This window comes from Homo sapiens, chromosome 17 (assembly GCF_000001405.40).
Source record: "Homo sapiens chromosome 17, GRCh38.p14 Primary Assembly".
NCBI lineage: Eukaryota > Metazoa > Chordata > Mammalia > Primates > Hominidae > Homo > Homo sapiens.
Genome location: NC_000017.11, coordinates 10,106,907 through 10,125,339, shown reverse-complemented (window position 1 = coordinate 10,125,339; position 18,433 = coordinate 10,106,907). Strand labels below are relative to the sequence as shown.

Here is an 18,433-nt window from a genome sequence, read left to right as displayed (position 1 = left end):
CACCATGTTGGCCAGGCTGATCTTGAACTCCTGACCTCCAGTAAGCCATCTGCCTTGGCCTCCCAAAGTGCTGGGATCATAGGCATGAGCCACTGCGCCCAGCCTTGACCTATTTTTTTTAAATTTAATATTCTCAGAATATATTTCTATCATTAAATATATTTACAGGTTTGTTTTAGTGTTTGTTAGTCACAATTTGGATAAACTATTAATTTGCAATCCCCTTATGATGGACACTGAGGTTCTTCCACACCCCCCCTTTTTTTTTTTTTACTGCTATTAAAAATTACTGAAGATAACCATTCCTTGTGATGATATCTTTTTGCACGGAGAGTAATTTCCAGGAAATGTGGACCACTCAAGTGCACATTTTGACCCATGGTGTCATACTGCTCTTTATTTTTATTTATTTATTGAATTTTTTTGAGGATTCTCACTCTGTCACCCAGGCTGAAGTGCAGTAGCGCGAACTCGGCTCACTGCAACCTCCACCTCCCGGGTTCAAGCGATTCTCTTGCCTCAGCCTCCTGAGTAGCTGGGATTACAGGTGCGCACCACCATGCTCAGCTAATTTTTGTATTTTTAGTAGAGACAGGGTTTCACCATGTTGGCCAGGCTGGTCTCCAACTCCGACCTTAGGTGATCCACATGCCTCAGCTCCCCCCCAAACTGCTGGGATTACAGGCGTGAGCCACTGTGCCCGGCCCCACACTGCTCTTTAGAAAGGTTGTACCAAGTCCTTGAGAATATCCAGTGCCCCATTCGCTGGCTAAGCCTGGCATTTGCAGGCCGAAAGAGAGCCAGCAAATCATGAGATCTGTAGCCACCTGCAAATGGTGTGCTGTGGGAGCTAGGCAGGCCAGAGCCCCGATCTGCCAGTGGGGATTTGTGCGCATGTGTGGGGTGCCTAGGATGTCTGGGTTCCTTCCTTCGAGATTTAGTAAGGAACTGTGTTGTGTGGAGGCTGCGCTTTCCTTTAGGAGCCCGTCCCATTGGGTCTCTCCAGGGAGTGAGTGTGTGTTTCTGGTCAGGCCTCACGGGCTCAAGTCTTGCAGAGTGAGGGAGGGGCAGTTTGCACTGGGCTCTGGACTGTCATTTCCATGTCCACCTTCAGCTTGGCCTTTTCTTGTTGAGTGCAAGGCCCCGCCACGAGGGGCTGGTTGGAGCTGGGAGCCGCGCGGGGAGCCCGCCCAGGCACAGTGGCGGCTCTGTTTCCCACTCCGCCTCCTCAGGGGCCCCCATTCACGGGAAGGAGAGTCACACATTCCCCCTTGAGATAAGAATAGAGCACGACTGTGCCCCAGGACAGAGTCCAGCTTCTTCAGCCAGCCCTGCGAGGCCTGGCAAGGGCTCCCAGATGGTACTGGCATGAGTGGGCCCTGGCTGCCTGCCCCACTGGCCTCTTGTGCATTGTGTGGCCCGGACACTGGGTACAGTGTGTGTCTGTCCGGGGCCCCCCTCCAGGAAAACCACTGTCTCCAGGCTCTGCTCAAGATGGAGGGGCTTGTCTCAAATCAGCTGTTCCAGGGCTCTGCTGCGCCCCTCCTCTTACCTGTGGGCCTTGGACTCCAACCTCCCTGCCTTGATTCCTCCAGCCACTGGTGTCTATTCCTGGACGGGCAGAATGGAGCCCACGTTTGTTGGGGGAGCAAGCTCTAGGTGAGGGCTGGTGGCTGGAGGTTGGAGGCAACAGCCTGGGGACCCCAAAAGTGCTGAGAGATGATAAACAGGACCAGTAGGGGCCACAGATTGTTTGAGTGATGATCAGAGTTTTGGGGCTTTCACCCTTAGCCCTGCCTGTGTCTGAGGCTCAAGATGGAAGAGCTGAGAGTCAGATCAACAGCAGGACTGGACCAGGCAAGAGGCATGGGTACATTCTGGCTCCTCTTGGAACCATTCTGGGTGACCTTTAATGTACTTTCCAGCCTTCAGATTCTAGGGTAGGGCTTCTTAAAGTGTGGTCCCTGGACCAGCAGCAACAGAACCAGCATCTCTTGGGAACTTGTTGGATGGAGCTGCATATTCCCAGGTCCTGCCCCAGACCTGCTGGCTCAGAACCCGGCAGTGGAGCCCAGCTGTCTGTGTTTTAACATGCTCTGGACCACAGCTCTAAGTAGGATGACAAACAATGCTTTCCAGAGTCTGACAGGTGACTCCAGTGAGTCTTGAGGCCCACCACAACCTGGAGAGCACATGCCCCACCTGAAGGCCGGATGCAGTGGCTCATGCCTGGAATCCCAGCACTTTGGGTAGGCCAAGGCAGGCCGATTGCTTGAGCCCAGGAGTTTGAGACCAGCCTGAGCAACATGGTGAGACCCCGTCACCTCAAAATCTAAAAAAATCAGCCAGGCGTGGTGGTGTGCACCTGTAGTCCCAGCTACTTAGGAGGCTGAGGTGGGAGGATTGCTCAGAGCCCAGGAGGTTGAGGCTACAATGAGCCATGATCACGCCACTGCACTCCAACCTGGGTGACAAAGTGAGACTCTGTCTCAAAATCAATAAATAAAAATATATAAAAACTTCATTTTATTTATTTTATGTTTAAACATGGGGTCTCCCAGCCAGCCTTAAAAAAAAGATCTTCAGCTTGCACTGTTCTAGATATTTCAGTTAATTGTACAACTGTCTGAGGTAGTGTTTTGGGTTTATGGGTAAAAAACCAAGGCTCCGTGGAGGTAAATAACTTGCCATATGGAGGAGTTGTGATTGAAAGCTGGGGCTTTTCACCACAAGTGGGGGTAGGCTTTCAACCCCCCTCTTCATGGCTGTTAATCAAACCAGCAGTCAGCCAGGGAGGGTGAGGGAGGGCGCCAGGGAGGGCGAGGCTCCTTCTGCTAGGGAGTTGTTGTTGAGTCGGGTCCCAGGGGGCCTTTCTCGCTTTGTTCTGAGAAAATGGGTGTGTTTTTGAGTATTTGAATAGGGCCATCACATAAACTGACTGGGAAAGTGCCTAGAACGGAGGCTGTCTGGGTCTCGATCTCAGTGTGCACGTGTCTGGGAGGGAGAGGAAGGATGAGGGTTTCTAGAAGATGCTGGCTAAAGACAGAGCTCTGTTTGCAACCCCTCAGTGGGAGGGAAGGATGAATGAAAACACAGGGGCTGGCTGGTTTTGGGGCCTTAGGAGTTTCAGAAGCATCATCTCCTGGGTGGGTACCACCGGTGTGCACAGATAAAAGTGTGCTCCCGGGAGATGCAGGTCACACTGTACGAGGAGGAGTGAGTCGTGTCCTCCCTCTGTTTACATCTCGTTGATGATGGTGCTGATGCTATTTTGGGCCTTGGTGTGTGCCGTTTGAGTGTGGAAGTTGTATGGCTGGCCTTCGGATTGTGCCTCAGTGCCTTTGTTGGAGGCGAGGCACGTGTTTTTGGAGGTTCCAGGTAGCCTGGGCCCACTACCTTCCAAAGTCCCCCATGAGAACTGGTCTCAGTGGTTTCTGAGATGACTGTGGGAGGGGGTGCATTCCATGCTGGGGTACTGGTGGCACCCAGGCATCTTCTGAGCTTGTGAGACTTTTTTGGGAGGCTTGGGGCTGGGGAAGCCCAAGGGAGAGGTTGACGGGGTACAGGGAAGCATGCTTGGTGGTCTGAGGTTGCATCTTCAATACCCCATGCTTTTACTTATCTCCTCAACCCACAGGTGAACAAATCGTTTCGTGGGTGGAGAGAATTTTTAAAAACAGATCTGTCGATTCAGGAGCATTTAATAATAATAGACAGCATTTACATAATATGATTTTCCAGACACTGGCCTAAGCACTGGACCTTCATTCACTCATTTAATCCTCACAATAGACCTGTAAGTAGTATTCTTATGCCTGTTTGACACATGGGGAAACTGAGGCACAGAGCAGTTTAATAATTTCCCCAGCATCACCCAGCCAGTGAGTAGCAGAACCAGGCCATCTCTCTCCAGAGCCCAAGTTCTTTTTTTAAATTTTTAAATTTTTTATTTGTTTTTTGAGGCAGAGTCTTGCTCTGTTGCCCAGGCTGGAGTGCAGTGGCCCAGTCTTGGCTCACTGCAATCTCTGCCTCCCGGGTTCAAGCGATTCTCCTGCCTCAGCCTCCCAAGTCGCTGGGACTACAGGTGCATGCCACCACGTCCGGCTAATTTTTGTATTTTTAGTAGAGACGGGGTTTCACCATGTTGGCCAGGCTGGTCTCAAACTCCCGACCTCAGGTGATCCACCCTCCTCGGCCTCGCAAAGTGCTGGGATTACAGGCGAGAGCCACAGTTCCTGGCCTAGAGCCCAAGCTCTTAACCACTGGCGGCTGTATACATTCCAATCTTCTGCACCCCAGCCCGTAGAGAGGAGATGGAGGACCGTTGCAGCTCCTGCAGCTCTGCCACTCCTGCCATCCGAAACTCATCTGCGTGCCCACCTTGGGGTTCCAGTGGGCCTTTGCTTTCATGTGGCAGTTGTGAAGGAAGGAAATGGTGAGAAAGGATGAGAGGAGGGGTGGGGGCAGCTGCCGTAGCTGCCGTTCTCCACCCTCCCTCCCCCTAGCAGCCTGCCCTTTCCTCTCCCCCGGCTGCCCACGTGGGAAGCTGTTGGAGGGTGCAGGCTCCTGAGCAGCCCTCCTGAGAATCTTCGCTGTGCTTTTTTGTTGTTGTTGTTGTTTTGTTTTTGAGACAAAGTCTCACTCTTGTCCCCCAGGCTGGAGTGCAATGACGCGATCTTGGCTCACTGCAACCTCCGCCTCCCAGGTTCAAGCGATTCTACTGCCTCAGCACCCCGAGTAGCTGGGATTACAGGCACCTGCCACCACACCCAGCTAGTTTTGGTATTTTTAGTAGAGACGGGGTTTTCGCCATGTTGGCCAGGCTGGTCTCGAACTCCTGACCTCAGGTGATCCACCCGCCTTGGCCTCCCTTCACTGTGCTTTTGAGAACAGACCTTCTACTCGTACTCTTAGGATTGAGTCCGTCCTGGTCTCGTGGAACCATTTGTGGGAGACTCAGCAGAGGAACCAGGAGGAAAGGCAGTGGCCCCCCATCCTCCACAGCTAACACTCTGGCTGCTCTCAAATCCTCCCAACTTTTGAGGAAGATGAGAGCGGAAGCATTTCTGCAAGAATGGAGGGAGGTGGCCGGTGGCTGGCCTGGCTCCTGGTGGCCGTACCTTCTGTTGGTAGCTGTGTCTTCTACTGGGGCCTGGACCAGCACTTCCAGCTGGATATGGAGTGGGAAGAGATGGGCGGGTCCAGAGCTGGGGGGGGATTGTCACGGGGCGGGGGCAGGGGGACAGGCATGAAGGCCAGCCTTGCATTTCTTCCCAGCAGGAAAACCCTTGGTGCTCTGCTCACTAGCAGTCCTGCCTGTGGTTAGCACTTCCGAAAGCGAGTGCCAGCTTGTGGTCAGAGGCTTGAGCTGCCAAACAGGTTTGGCCTCCTGGTGTGCCTGGGTGTGACATCCTCTTCTGCTCTTCCTCTGTCCCCAGGCTGCCTGGCTCTGGGCGTGAGAATAGTCAGGCAAAAGGAACCAAACTCGCCCAGCAGGTGCTTGGATCAGCACTGCCAGGAGAAGACAGCCTGAAGGACCCACTCGTTGAACTTGGTGCTTCTAAAGAAGATATGCTGGGTCTGAAGCATGGAATGTCAAGTTAGCTGAGGAGGCCTAACACCAGCAGGTGCTTTGGGGTGGCACCAGGCAAGTTCTAAGGACAGTGGGCAGCTTCTAGAGAAACCACTGAGTTGTGATTTCCTGTAGATGAGAAGACAGCAGTTCTAACTAACTCAGGGTGTGGTGTGTTGGGAGAGGAAGGAGGAGAGAAGTGGGCCTTGGACCTTAAACAAGAATCAAGGACACTCTTGGGAGCATCCCCCAGCTTGTTTAGCATGTTTCGTCATGATTGGCATGGTCGTAGGAATCCCCTGAGACATGCTCTTTTCTAACCTTTCTATAATTAGTTGTCTTAACCTCTGTCTCCTTAAATAAAATGTCAGCTTCATGAGAGCACTGAGGGCCTGGGCCAGGCCCACGGTGAGCACTCAGTAACTACTTAATGAAGGAATAAATCAATACAGTGAGCAGAAGAGCTAGAAAGATCTTTAGCAAGGGTAACATCTTGAACTCTCTAAAATTGCCACCCACACTCCAGTCTACCCTGAACTCCTGATTCCCTTTACCATGTTCTATTCCCCCGATCACCTTCTGACATTCTTTAGAATTCACTTTTTTATTGTGTTTAGTGTCTGCTCCCCGCAACCCATTCCCACCTCATGCTGGAGCCGTCACTCCAGGAAAGCAAGGGTTTATTTCCCTTCTGCTTTTTTCATTGATGTGCCCCCAGATACTTAGAAACAGCGCCTGGTGCATGGTATATGCTCCATAAGTATTTGTCAAATGAATGAATGGCTGAAAGTGCCCGGAAGGCACTCAGCAGTGCCATCTGTCCCTGGGGACAGATGTAAGAATCCTCTTACAGTGCATGTCACCATGTGGCATGTGTACGTTGTGCTGGTGTCCAGTGGGAGGGGAACACTTGCCTCCTCTGGGAGGTGCTGCACAGGCTGGCCACCTGCGCTGGGCCTGCTTGGTCCTCATGGTTAACTGGGCCCCGGGGGTAGGACCACCCCCCTGATAAGTTAAGACAGCCCAGAGATACACAAGGGCTTTTTTTTTTTTTTTTTTTTTTGGAGACAGAGTCTCACTCTGTCCCCCAGGCTGGAGTGCAATGGCGCAATCTCAGCTCACTGTAACCTCCGCCTCCTGGGTTCAAATGATTCTCCTGCCTCAGCCCCCAGGGTAGCTGGGACTACCTCCATCACACCTGGCTAATTTTTGTATTTTTAGTAGAGACGGGGTTTTACCGTGTTGGCCAGGCTGGCCTCAAACTCCGGACCTCAAGGGATCCACCAGCCTTGGCCTCCCAAAGTGTTGGGATTACAGGCGTGAGCCACTGCGCCCAGCCCACGAGGGCTTTTTGGAATTGACTGGCAGGGCAGTGAGGGCCCCCAGGGCAGGCCGGAGAGGCTGACCAGGTAGTGAGTGGAGCTGTTCACAGATGAGGATTTTGAGCCTGTGGTTGGGCTGCATTCCAGAATCCAGCTGTGCTCCCATGACTTCCTTCCCACCTTATGCGCTGTGAGAAGCGGAAAAATACCTGGCTGAGAAACCGAGGGCTCAGGCGATATCCCTGTTTACTCCATCTCTATCATCTTGTCTTGCAACGAGTGACTGACTTAGAAATGTAATCCGGGATGGTCTTGGCTGTCTCCACGCCCTGGAGAGCAACAGGGTCCTGGTGCTGCCTGTTACCCTCGGGGAAAAGTGCAGACCCAAGTAGGTCCAGCTGTGTCCTTGACATCTCCACTTGTCCTGTCCAGGACGCAGTTGCCTAGCCCAGGTCTGGGCTACAGTGGCTTCTCACAGCTCAGTAAATGGCTAGTTTGTCCTTCCAGCCGCTGGAGGCAAAAACCTTGACTCCCCTTTTTTTCTCACATTCCACATTCAGCATGTTGAGAATGCAGGTTGGCCCTTCTTGCAAAACAGATCTTTAAACACAGGATCACTTCTCACCACCCTACCACTGTAGCCTTGGACTGAGCCACAGCTGCCACCACAATGCTGCCGGGCTGTTGCAGGCGCCTCCTGGCTGCTCTGCTGGTCCCTAGTCTGTTGTTTTCACAGGAAGGGTCTGAACACATCGTGCTTCTGCTTACCACAGTCCAGTGGTGCCCCATGTCGGCAGAGTGAAGACGCGGAAGCCCTACAGTGGCTGATGAGGTGCTACATAATTGGGTCCCCATTGCTGTCCTGACCTCAGCACCTGCTCCTCCCCGTTGGTCTCACTCCTGTGTCACTCCTGCCTCTGTCCTCCGCCTTCCGTGGTGTTTCTTTAAATGTTCCAGGCATGCTTCCTCATCAGGGCCTTTGCAGCCCAACTCCCTGTGGGGGCTGAGTAATGGTCCCCTGAAGATGTCTACCTTCTAATCTCTGGAGCCTGTGAATATGTTACCTTCTGTGGCAGATGGGATTTTGCAGTTGTGATTAAGTTGAGAACCGGAGATGGGGAGATAATCCTGGATTATCCACGTGGGCCCAGTGTAAGCCAAGGGTCCTTATGAGAGGGAGGCAGGAGGGCCAGAATCAGTGTTAGGAGATGTGATGTTGGAAGCAAGAGGCTGAGTGACGAGAGGAAGGGGCCGAAAGCCAGGGAAAGTGGGTGGGCTCCAGAAGCTGAGAAAGGCAAAGAAATGGATTCTCTCCTAGAGCCTCCAGGAGGAACCAGCCAGCCCTGCAGACATCTTGACTTTAGCCCTGTGAAACCTGTTTCAGACTTTTGACCTCCAGAACTGTAAGATAATAAATTTTCATTGTTTGAAGCCCGTTAGTGTATGGGAATTTGTTACAGCAGCCTCAGGATATGAATAGACCTCTTTATCTCCTTTCAGTCTCTCACTCACTCTGGCAGGTCCACCCCTTTGCTCTGTTTTTTCTTTTCCCCCCCTCATCATTTATCACCTTCCAGCAAAACTGGATCATTGACCTGTCTGTCTGGCTTGTTGTGGGTTGTGTATCTCCCCTGCTAGAATGTAAGCTCCCTGAGGCATGGATCTTTGTCTTGTTAACTGATGTATCCCAGTGTCGAAACCTGCGTCTGGTGTATAAGAGGTGTTCAAGAAACCTGTGTCGAATAAATAAATGAATGAATATGAATGAATGATTCCTTGGTCTGGAATACCTTCTCTTCCCATTGTCTCTGCCAGCTGCCCTCTAAGTCCACTTCAGACCCACTCCCTACCCGCAAGAGCTCTCCTGTAAGTGACTTCCCTGGCAGGATGCGGCTGGTGCTATCTGCTGGTCACCTTTCCTGAGCACCCAGTGGCTGTGAGCAGCCCGGCCAGTTGCAGAGACCCGCTCAGCCCAGGGCACTCTTCTTCAGCTTGCATTCCCCGGGGTAAGCCCTGCAGCAGCCAGGTACTCTGGAGAGTATTCATTTTGTTCCATGCATTTCTTACAGATGAGCACTGTCAGAGTCTAAGGGACCCAGCTGATCTCTAAACCCAACATTTTTTTTTTTTTGAGGCAAGAGTCTCACTCTGTCCCCTAGGCTGGAGTGCAGTGGTACAATCTCAGCTCACTGCAACCTCCGCCTCCTGGGTTCAAGCAATTCTTCTCCTGCCTCAGCCTCCTGAGTAGCTGGGACCACAGGCACACGCCACCACACTCGGCTAATTTTTGTACTTTTAGTAGAGATGGGGTTTGGCCATGTTGGCCAGGCTGGTCTTGAACTCCTGACTTCAAATGATTCACTTCCCTTGTCTTCCCAAAGTGCTGGGATTACAGTCGTGAGCCACCATGGCCGGCCAACCCAACCTCATTTTGATGATGATCTGGAGAGGTGAGGGGTCCCACCAAGGTGCTGAGCAAATTTCTAGGGCTTCTAAGTCTCAGAAGTCCTGGTTGGATGATCTGTTTGGGAGAGCTCCTTCTCTCCACTGCCACCCCCAGGGACAGCGTGCCTCACTCGTAGAAGGTACTAAGAATTTGCCTGGATATTGGAGCTTTGGAATCTGTCATGGCTGGGGAGGTTGGTGAGTGGGGCACGGTTTTAAGGGAAGGTATAAGGTTCTCCCCAGGGACTAGGGGCGGGGGAGACCAAAGGATTTGTCTTGTTGTTAACAACAGTAGTATGGAGGATGGGGAGTTTGGAAAAAGGAAAGGAAGAAAAGACAAGAAATGGTAATAAGTATGGGCAAGAGTTGTGTGCCCACAATGGACACCTCATGCTAGGGGACCCCCAAGTGTATGGACACTGCCAAGAAGGGGCAAGGAGGGATGAGAGAGGCCTTCTCTGTGCTGAGGTGTGCTTCCCCGGGGCACAGCTGCAGCCTGTAAAGGGTGAACAGTTAGGAACACTTCTTTCTGCTGTCTTCTCTGGGGAGGACACGTGTTGCAACACTTCCTGAGTTGGGGAGGAGGTGACACTTTGCCCCCCACCCTCCTTCAGACTGCTGATGAAGTGTGCTTAGTTATGAACCTACAGCTGTGTTTTTGCAGCGTTCCCCCCGCCTGTGCACCCGCCAGTCCCACGGGGGGCTCCCCTCCCTCCTTCCGTCCCTGGTCCTTCCCTCTGCTGGCTGGTGACTCACTCAGCTCTTGTGCAACAGCCCAGGCTCTCGCTCAGAGAAGAGCTGTTTTCCTCCATCCCATAAGCCCCCGTCCTAATTTATGTCTTTTCATTTGGGTTAATGCTTTCCACATTTAGGTCTGGAGATTAGCGTGTGGCTCATTGATGCAACCACCAAAACCCCAGTGCCAGCTTGGGTCTGGCACAGAGAGGCAGCCAGCCAGCCAGCCAGACAGACAGACAGACAGAGGACAGCTTGGAGCATGACCCCCAGCCTGTTGGTCTGCAGCTGGCCCAGCCCTGCCAGCCACAGAGGCAGAGCGAGGAGGCAGCCCTGACTCCTGGCTTGCCAGAGAATCATTCTCATGCCAGTTTCCTGTGAAGGACACGCATCTTGGAATGGCGTGAAGAGGAGATTGCCCCAAGCCTGTGACTTCTCATTGAGGAAACTGTGTGTCGGGAAGTGAGAGGCACAAGTTCTAGGGTGTGGAAAAATGCGATCTCTGTGGCTTTCAAAGCTGTCACACAACACAGTGTGTGTGTGTGTGTGTGTGTGTGTGTGTGTGTGTGGTTTTTCTCTTCTCTTTAGAACAATAATATTACCTTTGTTGCTATGGTGTTGTTATGGGGGTGGCTAATTGGACACAGCCCTGATGCTGGCTGGTGTGTGGTGTCCATAGTGATTATCAGACGGCAGCCATGGGACCTGCTTTGATTTTCTTCCCTGGAGTGAGAAGCAGGCAGAGGATCACTCGGTGGCTGTGTATACCCTGCCTTTGGTGGTGGCACCCCAGTCAGAAACGGGACCCTGAAGCTGGGATTTAGGTAAGGGGAGGACCTTTCCAAGGCTTGTTTACAGCTCAGATTTGCAGAGGACCAGGTATTTGGGAACTCCTCTTCTGAAGAACCAGATTGCAGGGCAGGGCACAACGAGGGGCCTGTTGCATCTTGGGAGCACAGGGCTGTGTGCTCTGGTAACCTGGGCCCACTCACCTGGCAGGCACTGGCTTCCTTCCCAGTGAGACTGTAGCATTGACGGAAAAGTGCATGGTGGCTCATGCCTGTAATCTCAGCACTTTAAGAGGCTGAGGCAGGAGGATTTCTTGAGCCCAGGAGTTTGAGATCAGCCTGCGCAACATAGGGAGACCCCCATCTCTACAAAAAATAATGAAAGAAAAAAAAAGATTAGCCAGGCGTGGTGGTGCATGCCTGTAGCCCCAGCTACTCGGGAGGCTGAGGCAGGAAGATCACTTGAGCCCGGGAGGTTGAGGCTGCAGTGAGCTGTGATCACACCACTGCACTCCAGCCTGGGCAAGATAGCAAGACCCTATCTTGAGAAACAAAAGAGACAGAAGTATGTTTGGTCAGTATGTATACCCAAAAGTATATCTGTTAATTTTATACTTATCAAATAGGTAATATATGCTCAGGTCTGATATCTGAAAGGTACAAAAAACGTAGAGTGAAAAGTTGGTCTCCTTCCCATCCCTGTCCTCAACCTATCAGTTCCCTTCCCGAGTGGCAAACAAGTGATCAGTTTCTTGTGGGTACTTCCAGAAGTAGTCCAGGAATTTCCAAATATGTTTCATTTTATTTTCCTTAACCCAGGAAACCGTGTGTCGGGAAGTGAGAGGCACAAGTTGTAGGGGGCGGAAAAATGCGATCTCTGTGGTTTTCTGAACACAGGTATCCCCTCTATACTTCTGCACCTTGCTGGTGCTACTGATGCTTTTTGTTAAATCATATAACATATCTTGGAGTTTAGTCAATAGGAAGAGCTTCCTCCTCCTGTTTAATGCCTGCCCCACTCATTTCACCAATGGGCATAAAGGTTGCTTCTAATCTTTCTCTGTTACCTTTACCTGTTGCTGCTGTGGATAGCCTCGTATATCCATCATTCTGCACGTGGGTGAGGGTCTCTGAAGGGCAAGTTTCTGAGGTTGAAAGGTTGGAACAAAGAATATATGTGTTTGTAGTTTTGACAGAAAGGGCCAGATTGCCTCTAACAAGACTGTTCTAGCTTACACTTCTGCTAGCAGCGAGTAGGAGTGCCTGCTTTCCCATAGCCTTGCCAGCATCGTGCACTTTCAGATTTTTTTTTAATTTCTGCTTGGAAAAGTTTGTCTTTACTTTCTGTTGAATTTCTCTCCCATGGCTCCCCCACTCTATTGCAGCCTCCCATGCAGGCAGTGAGTGGATGGGGTCCCTCTCTGCTTCCCTGGGCCATAGGGAGTGGACCCTCAGAGGACCCTCTGTCTTGCAGATCGTTGGGTGGACTTGGTCTAGCCTCTCTGCAGGCCAGTCGGTTGTTTTACATATAGATCTTAAGGGAAAGAATCCTTTGCAACACTTGAATTTTCTACTTGTGATGACACTACTGGACTCTCTTTTCTCTTTTCTTTTTCTTTTTTTCTTTTCTTTTCTTTCTTTCCTTCCTTCCCTCTTTCTTCCTTTTCTCTCTCTTTTCTTTTCTTTCTTTCTCTTTCTCTCTTTCTTTCTTTCTTTTTTCTTTTCTTTGTTTGTTTTTGAGATGCAGTTTCACTCTCATGGCCCAGGCTGGAGTGCACTGGTATGATCTCAGCTCACCACAACCTCTGCCTCCCAGGTTCAAGCAATTCTCCTGCTGAATTCAGCCTCCTGAGTAGCTGGGATTACAGGCATGTGCCACCATGCCCGGCTAATTTTGTATTTTTAGTAGAGTTGGGGTTTCTCCATGTTGGTCAGGCTGGTCTCGAACTCCTCACCTCAGGTGATCCACCCACCTCAGCCTCTGAAAGTGCTGGGATTACAGGCGTGAGACACCGCGCCCGGCTAGACTCCATTTTCTACATGCTACTCCTATTATCTTTTCCTACTTCCCTCCTCTCTCTCATCTCCATCTGCCCTACCTTGCTCCTGCCTGAGTCTTCCTCTTGTTTTCCAGTGTTCTGTGTCTTCTGCCTCTCCCTTTCCAAAGATAGAGTCTTTTCAGTGAAAAGCCCCACACGTGGGCAAACACCCCTGGAAAGCATCCCTCGCTGTGTGTCTTCGGTCACGTGCTCGAGGATGCATCCACGGTGGAATTGGATGCAGTGACAGCATTTCTCTGCTCCCAGGCTTTTCTAAGTCAGGGAGCTGGAGGTGAAGCTGTAGCAAAGAATGCCTGGAGAGATGCCCTCAGGCAGCACAGCCCAGTAGAACTCTCTGAGGATGGCAATGTTCTACTTTTGTGACGCCCAGTACGGTAGCCACTAACATGTGGCTGGTGCAACTGCGGAAGTGGTTCTTTCATTTGGATTAATTTATATTGAGGGGCTGTATGTGTCCACTGACTACCATATGGGAGAGCACAGGTCTAAACTGTATGCTTTTAGCATGAAAATAAGAGTCTAAGAAGCAGAGTGTATCTGGTCTAGGTTTCCTCAAGTCGAAACACGGCAGCAGTTCTTCATCAGGGTATCCAGGCCCCATGACCTGGTCCAATTTTGGAACTCCCGAATTTCGCCTATTGGAAACACAATTGGGGTTAGGCTGCCAGACCCACCAAGGAGGGTCGCAATTCCCTTGGAATATAGGCCTCCCTTAAAGACTTATTTATTTATTTAGAGACGGAGTCTTGCCCTGTCTCCAGGCTGGAGTGCAGTGGCGTGATCTCGGCTCACTGTACCCTCTGCCTCCTGGGTTCAAGCGATTCTCCTGCCTCAGCCTCCCAAGTATATTTCTGGTTTTTTGTTTGTTTGTTTGTTTGTTTTTTTGAGACAGAGTCTCACTCTGTCACCCAGGCTGGAGTGCAGTGGCACAGTCTTGGCTCACTGCAACGTCCGCCTCCCGGGTTCATGCCATTCTCCTGCCTCAGCCTCCCAAGTAGCTGAGACTACAGGTGCACGACACCACGCCTGGCTATTATTTTGTATTTTTAATAGAGACGGGGTTTCACTGTGTTATCCAACATTGTCTCAATCTCCTTACCCATCATCCGCCCACCTCGGCCTCCCAAAGTTGTGGGATTACAGGCGTGAGCCATTGCGCCTGGCCATTTCTGTATTTTTAGTAGAGACGGGGTTTCACCATGTTGACCAGGCTGGTCTCGAACTCCTGACCTCAAAGGATCCTCCCATCTCAGCCTCCCAAACTGCTAGGATTACAGGTGCCAGCCAAGACACCCGGCCCCCTTAAGGACTTTTGATATCCATAGATGTACACAGCAGTTACTGACCTACAAGTTGTGGACACCAAAGCAAACTAGCCCTGTCTAAATAGAGCATCTTGTGTTATTTTACTTTTTAATCGACGCGTAATGTTTTACATATTTATGGGGTAGATGTGATATTTGGTTGCATGTATAGAATGTATAATAATTGATAAGTCAGGGTATTTGGGGTATCCATAACCTTAGCGTCAGTCATTGCTGTGTGTTGGGAACAAACATTCTTCTAGCTGTTTCAAAATGTGTGATATATTGTTGCTAACTATAATCCCTCTGCTCTGCTATCCAACTTTAGAACTTGTATCTTCTGGCTGGGCGCAGTGGCTCATGCCTGTAATCCCAGCACTTTGGGAGGCTGAGGCGGGCAGATCACTTGAGGTCAGGAGTTCGAGACCAGCCTGACCAATATGGTGAAACACCGTCTCTACTAAAAATACAAAAATCAGCCAGACGTGGTGACATGCACCTGTAGTCCCAACTACTTGGGAGGCTGAGGCTTAGACAGGAGAATTGGTTGAACCCGGGAGACGGAGGTTGCCGTGAGCCAAGATTGCGCCATTGCACTTCAGCCTGGGTGTCACAGCGAGACTCCGTCTTAAAAAAAAAGAAAAGAACTTATATCTTCTGTCTAACTGTATGTTTGTACCCCTTAACCAAACTCTCTTCATCCCCCCTCTTTCCCACACACCCTTCCTAGCCTCTAGTTAACTATCTACTCTCATCTCCACGAGAGCAACTTTTTTAGCTCCTACATATCAGTGAGAACACTGATCTTTGTCTTTCTATGCCTGGCTTATTTAACTTAACATAATAACCTCCAGTTCCGTTCATGTTGCTGCTAATGACATGATTTCTTTCTTTTTCATGCTGAATAGAATTCCACGGTGTATATATACCGCATTTTTTTATCCACTTGTCCATTGATGGACACTTAGGTTGATTCCATAATTTTGCTATTGTGAATCATGCTGCAGTAAACGTGTGAGTACAGGTATCTCTTTGATATCTTTTTTTTTTTTTTTTTTTTGAGACGGAGCCTTGCTGTGTCGCCCAGGCTGAAGTGCAATGGCACAATCTCGGCTCACTGCAACCTCCACCTCCCGGGTTCAAGTGATTCTCCTGCCTCATCCTCCCGAATAGCTGGGATTACAGGCGCCCACCACCACGCCCAGCTGATTTTTGTATTTTTAGTACAGAGGGGGTTTTACCACGTTGGCCAGGCTGGTCTCAAACTCCTGACCTCATGATCCACCCGCCTCTGCCTCCCAAAGTGCTGGGATTACAGGCGTGTACCACCGCGCCTGGCCCTGTTTTTGTATTTTTAAGTAGAGACGGAGTTTTGCTATGTTGGCCAGGCTGGTCTTGAACTCCTGATCTCAGGTGATCCACCTGCCTTGGCCTCCCAAAGTGTTGGAATTACAGGCGTGAGCCACTGCTCCTGGCCTGATGTCTTTTGATATCCTGATTTCTTTTTGTTTGGATAAATACCCAGCAGTGGGATTGCTGGATGGTATGGTTGTTCTATTTTTAGTTTTCTGAGAAGTCTCTGTACTGGTTTCCCCAGTGGCTGTACCAATTTGCATTCCCACCAGTAGTGTACAAGAGATCCCATCTTTCCTCATCCTTGGCAGTATCTGTTATTTTTTATCTTTTTAATGATATTTTTTATCTTTTTAATGATAGCTGTTCTAACGGCTGTCATTAGCAGCAACATGAATGGAACTGGAGGTTATTATGTTACCTTAAGTTAAATAAGCCAGGCATACCCGTTCTAACTCTGGCGTAAGATGATAGCTCGTTGTGGTTTTAATTTGAATTTCCCTGGTGATTAGTGATGTTGGGTATTTTTTTATATGCCTGTTAGCAATTTGTATGTCTTCTGTTGAGAATGTCTATTCATGCCCTTTGCCTACTTTTTAATGGTTATTTTATTTTTATTTATTTTTATTTTTTTAAATTTTTTTTGCTGTTGAGTTCCTTGTATATTCTGGCTATTAGTCCCTCATCAGATAAATAGTTTTCAAATATTCTCTCCCATTCAATAGATTGTCTTTCCACTTTGTTGACTGTTTCCTTTGCTTTGTAAAACCTTTTTAGTTTAATATGGGCCCATTTGTCTATTTTTGGTTTTGTTGTCTGTGCTTTTGAGGTCTTAACTGTAAAATCTTTGCCTAGACCAATGTCCTGAAGTGTTCTTTCTAGTAGTTTTATAGTTTCGAGCCTTAGTTTAAGTCTTTAATCCATCTTGAGTTGATTTTTGTATATGGTGAGAGATAGGGGTCCAGTTTTATTCCTCTACGTATGGATATCCAGTTTCCTCAACACCCCTGATTGAAGAGACTGTCCTTTCCTCAATGTGTATTCTTGGTGCTTTTGTTGAAACTCAGTTGGCTGTAAATACATGGATTTATTTCTGGATTCTCTATTCTGTTCCATTGGTCTACGTGCCTGTTTTTATATGAACGTCATGCTATCTGGTTACTCTGCAGTGCAATTTTTAAATATCTGAGCTAAATACAAAGACAGATCCTCCAAAATCTGAAACTTTTTCAGGACTATATGATGCTCAAAGAAAATGCTCACTGGGGCATGCATTAAATAGAAAATCACAGTGCATGGTAGACACACTTGACAGCAATAAGTTAAGCATACCCTGAGAACGACCCTGTGTGGTAGATGCACCAGAATGTGTGTGTGGATTTCCATGCTAAAGAATCAGGCAGTGGCCAACTCAGAGATTCATTCCTTACCTATGAGAAACATCTGAGCCCTTGGCCCGTCCAGTGGAACACAGGCCATATGGAGGACCAAGGCCCTTTCTTTTGGGTTAAATGAAGGTTGCCAGGTGGAGGTTGTTAGGGAGAGGATGCAAAGCAAAAATGCTCTATAAACTGCATGCTTCAGGCAAGTGCTTGCAGTTCTCCTGCCTAGCTGGCCACGCTGGGCCATGTGGTTCTCCAGCCCAGCCCGCCACTGGACTGTGGTACAGTGATTCTCTTGCCCAGACCCCCTCTGGACTATGGTAAGGTGGTTCCCCTGCCAAGCCCTCCACTGGACTGTGGTAAAGTGATTCTCTTGCCCAGTCCCCCACTGGGACTGTGTGTAAGGTGGTTCTCCTGCCCAGCTCCCACTGGACTGTGTGTAAGGCGGTTTCCCTAACCAGCCCACCACCACTGGACTGTGTAAGGCAGTTCCCCTGCCCAGTCCCCTACTGGACTGTGTGTAAGGTGGTTCTCCTACCCAGTCCCCTACTGGACTGTGTGTAAGGCGGTTCTCCTGCCCAGCCCCTCACTGGACTGTGTGTAAGGCGGTTTCCCTAACCAGCTCACCACCAGTGGACTGTGTGTAAGGTGGTTCCCCTGCTCAGCCTGCCACCACTGGACTGTGTGTAAGGTAGTTCTCCTGCCCAGCCCACCACCACTGGACTGTGTAAGGCGGTTCTCCTGCCCAGCCCCCCACTGGACTGTGTGTAAGGCGGTTTCCCTAACCAGCTCACCACCACTGGACTGTGTGTAAGGTGGTTCCCCTGCTCAGCCTGCCACTGGACTATGTGTAAGGTAGTTCTCCTGCCCAGCCCGCCACCACTGGACTGTGTGTAAGGCAGTTCTCCTGCCCAGCCCGCCACCACTGGACTGTATATAAGCTACTTCTCCTTCCCAGCCTGCCACCACTGGACCACTCTGTATGTAAGTTTCCAGCTGATAAAACCCTGTGTCTCATTGGCTGGCTCTGTGTCTCGTCTTTGGCCTCTTGAACCTGGGGCCGTTCCTATAAAGGTTAATGGAGGCCCAGCAAGACAGACAAAGTAGAACTTCACCTTGTAGTGTTATGTAAGAGGAAGTGTGTTAGTTTCCCATTGCTGCTGTAACGAATGCCACAAATGCAGTGACTTAAAATGCATTTATTTACTCATAGTTCTAAGGATCCAAAGTCTGAAATGAGTTTTACAAGGCTAAAAATTAAGGTGTCGGCAGGGCTGGTCCTTCTGGAAGCTCCAAGGAGAATCTGTTCCTTCCTGTTTTCATCCTCTTGAACTCCTTCCTTGGCGCCTGTTTCCACCTTGGTGTAAGGAACCACCTTACCACAGTCCAGTGGGACTGTGGCATCAGCCTCTTTCTTCTTTGACCTTGTCTTCCTCTTAGACCCTGTGATTGCATTTAGAACCTACCCAGAT

The 18,433-nt window shown here is 49.9% G+C and overlaps 1 protein-coding gene across 2 annotated transcripts in view, besides 6 other annotated features; it reads left to right on the top strand.

Annotated features, from left to right (window-relative positions):
• The window catches only part of GAS7 (growth arrest specific 7), a 288,001-nt gene that overhangs the window by 73,267 nt on the left and 196,301 nt on the right, over positions 1–18,433 (top strand). The window contains exon 1 of one of the 2 annotated variants that reach the window (XM_011524044.4): positions 10,746–10,898. The exons of the other annotated variant lie outside the window; for it this stretch is intronic. The gene's annotated coding sequence lies outside the window, so the exon portion shown is untranslated. Of the gene's footprint in view, positions 1–10,745; positions 10,899–18,433 lie in introns of those variants that run through there. 2 annotated transcript variants of the gene reach the window in all.
• Positions 4,822–5,780: an enhancer, noted in NCBI's record as "H3K4me1 hESC enhancer chr17:10022877-10023835 (GRCh37/hg19 assembly coordinates)". NCBI's record gives its function as "activates a minimal SCP1, AML or CMV promoter by ChIP-STARR-seq in primed H9 embryonic stem cells {active_cell/tissue: H9 hESC(primed)}" and the evidence as "EXISTENCE:reporter gene assay evidence [ECO:0000049][PMID:30033119]".
• Positions 5,955–6,482: an enhancer, noted in NCBI's record as "H3K27ac-H3K4me1 hESC enhancer chr17:10022175-10022702 (GRCh37/hg19 assembly coordinates)". NCBI's record gives its function as "activates a minimal SCP1, AML or CMV promoter by ChIP-STARR-seq in naive H9 embryonic stem cells {active_cell/tissue: H9 hESC(naive)}" and the evidence as "EXISTENCE:reporter gene assay evidence [ECO:0000049][PMID:30033119]".
• Positions 7,013–7,542: an enhancer, noted in NCBI's record as "H3K27ac-H3K4me1 hESC enhancer chr17:10021115-10021644 (GRCh37/hg19 assembly coordinates)". NCBI's record gives its function as "activates a minimal SCP1, AML or CMV promoter by ChIP-STARR-seq in primed H9 embryonic stem cells {active_cell/tissue: H9 hESC(primed)}" and the evidence as "EXISTENCE:reporter gene assay evidence [ECO:0000049][PMID:30033119]".
• Positions 7,543–8,072: an enhancer, noted in NCBI's record as "H3K27ac-H3K4me1 hESC enhancer chr17:10020585-10021114 (GRCh37/hg19 assembly coordinates)". NCBI's record gives its function as "activates a minimal SCP1, AML or CMV promoter by ChIP-STARR-seq in primed H9 embryonic stem cells {active_cell/tissue: H9 hESC(primed)}" and the evidence as "EXISTENCE:reporter gene assay evidence [ECO:0000049][PMID:30033119]".
• Positions 10,027–10,086: a silencer, noted in NCBI's record as "silent region_8199". NCBI's record gives its function as "represses an Ori minimal core promoter by ATAC-STARR-seq in GM12878 lymphoblastoid cells {active_cell/tissue: GM12878}" and the evidence as "EXISTENCE:reporter gene assay evidence [ECO:0000049][PMID:35858748]".
• Positions 17,569–18,110: an enhancer, noted in NCBI's record as "H3K27ac-H3K4me1 hESC enhancer chr17:10010547-10011088 (GRCh37/hg19 assembly coordinates)". NCBI's record gives its function as "activates a minimal SCP1, AML or CMV promoter by ChIP-STARR-seq in primed H9 embryonic stem cells {active_cell/tissue: H9 hESC(primed)}" and the evidence as "EXISTENCE:reporter gene assay evidence [ECO:0000049][PMID:30033119]".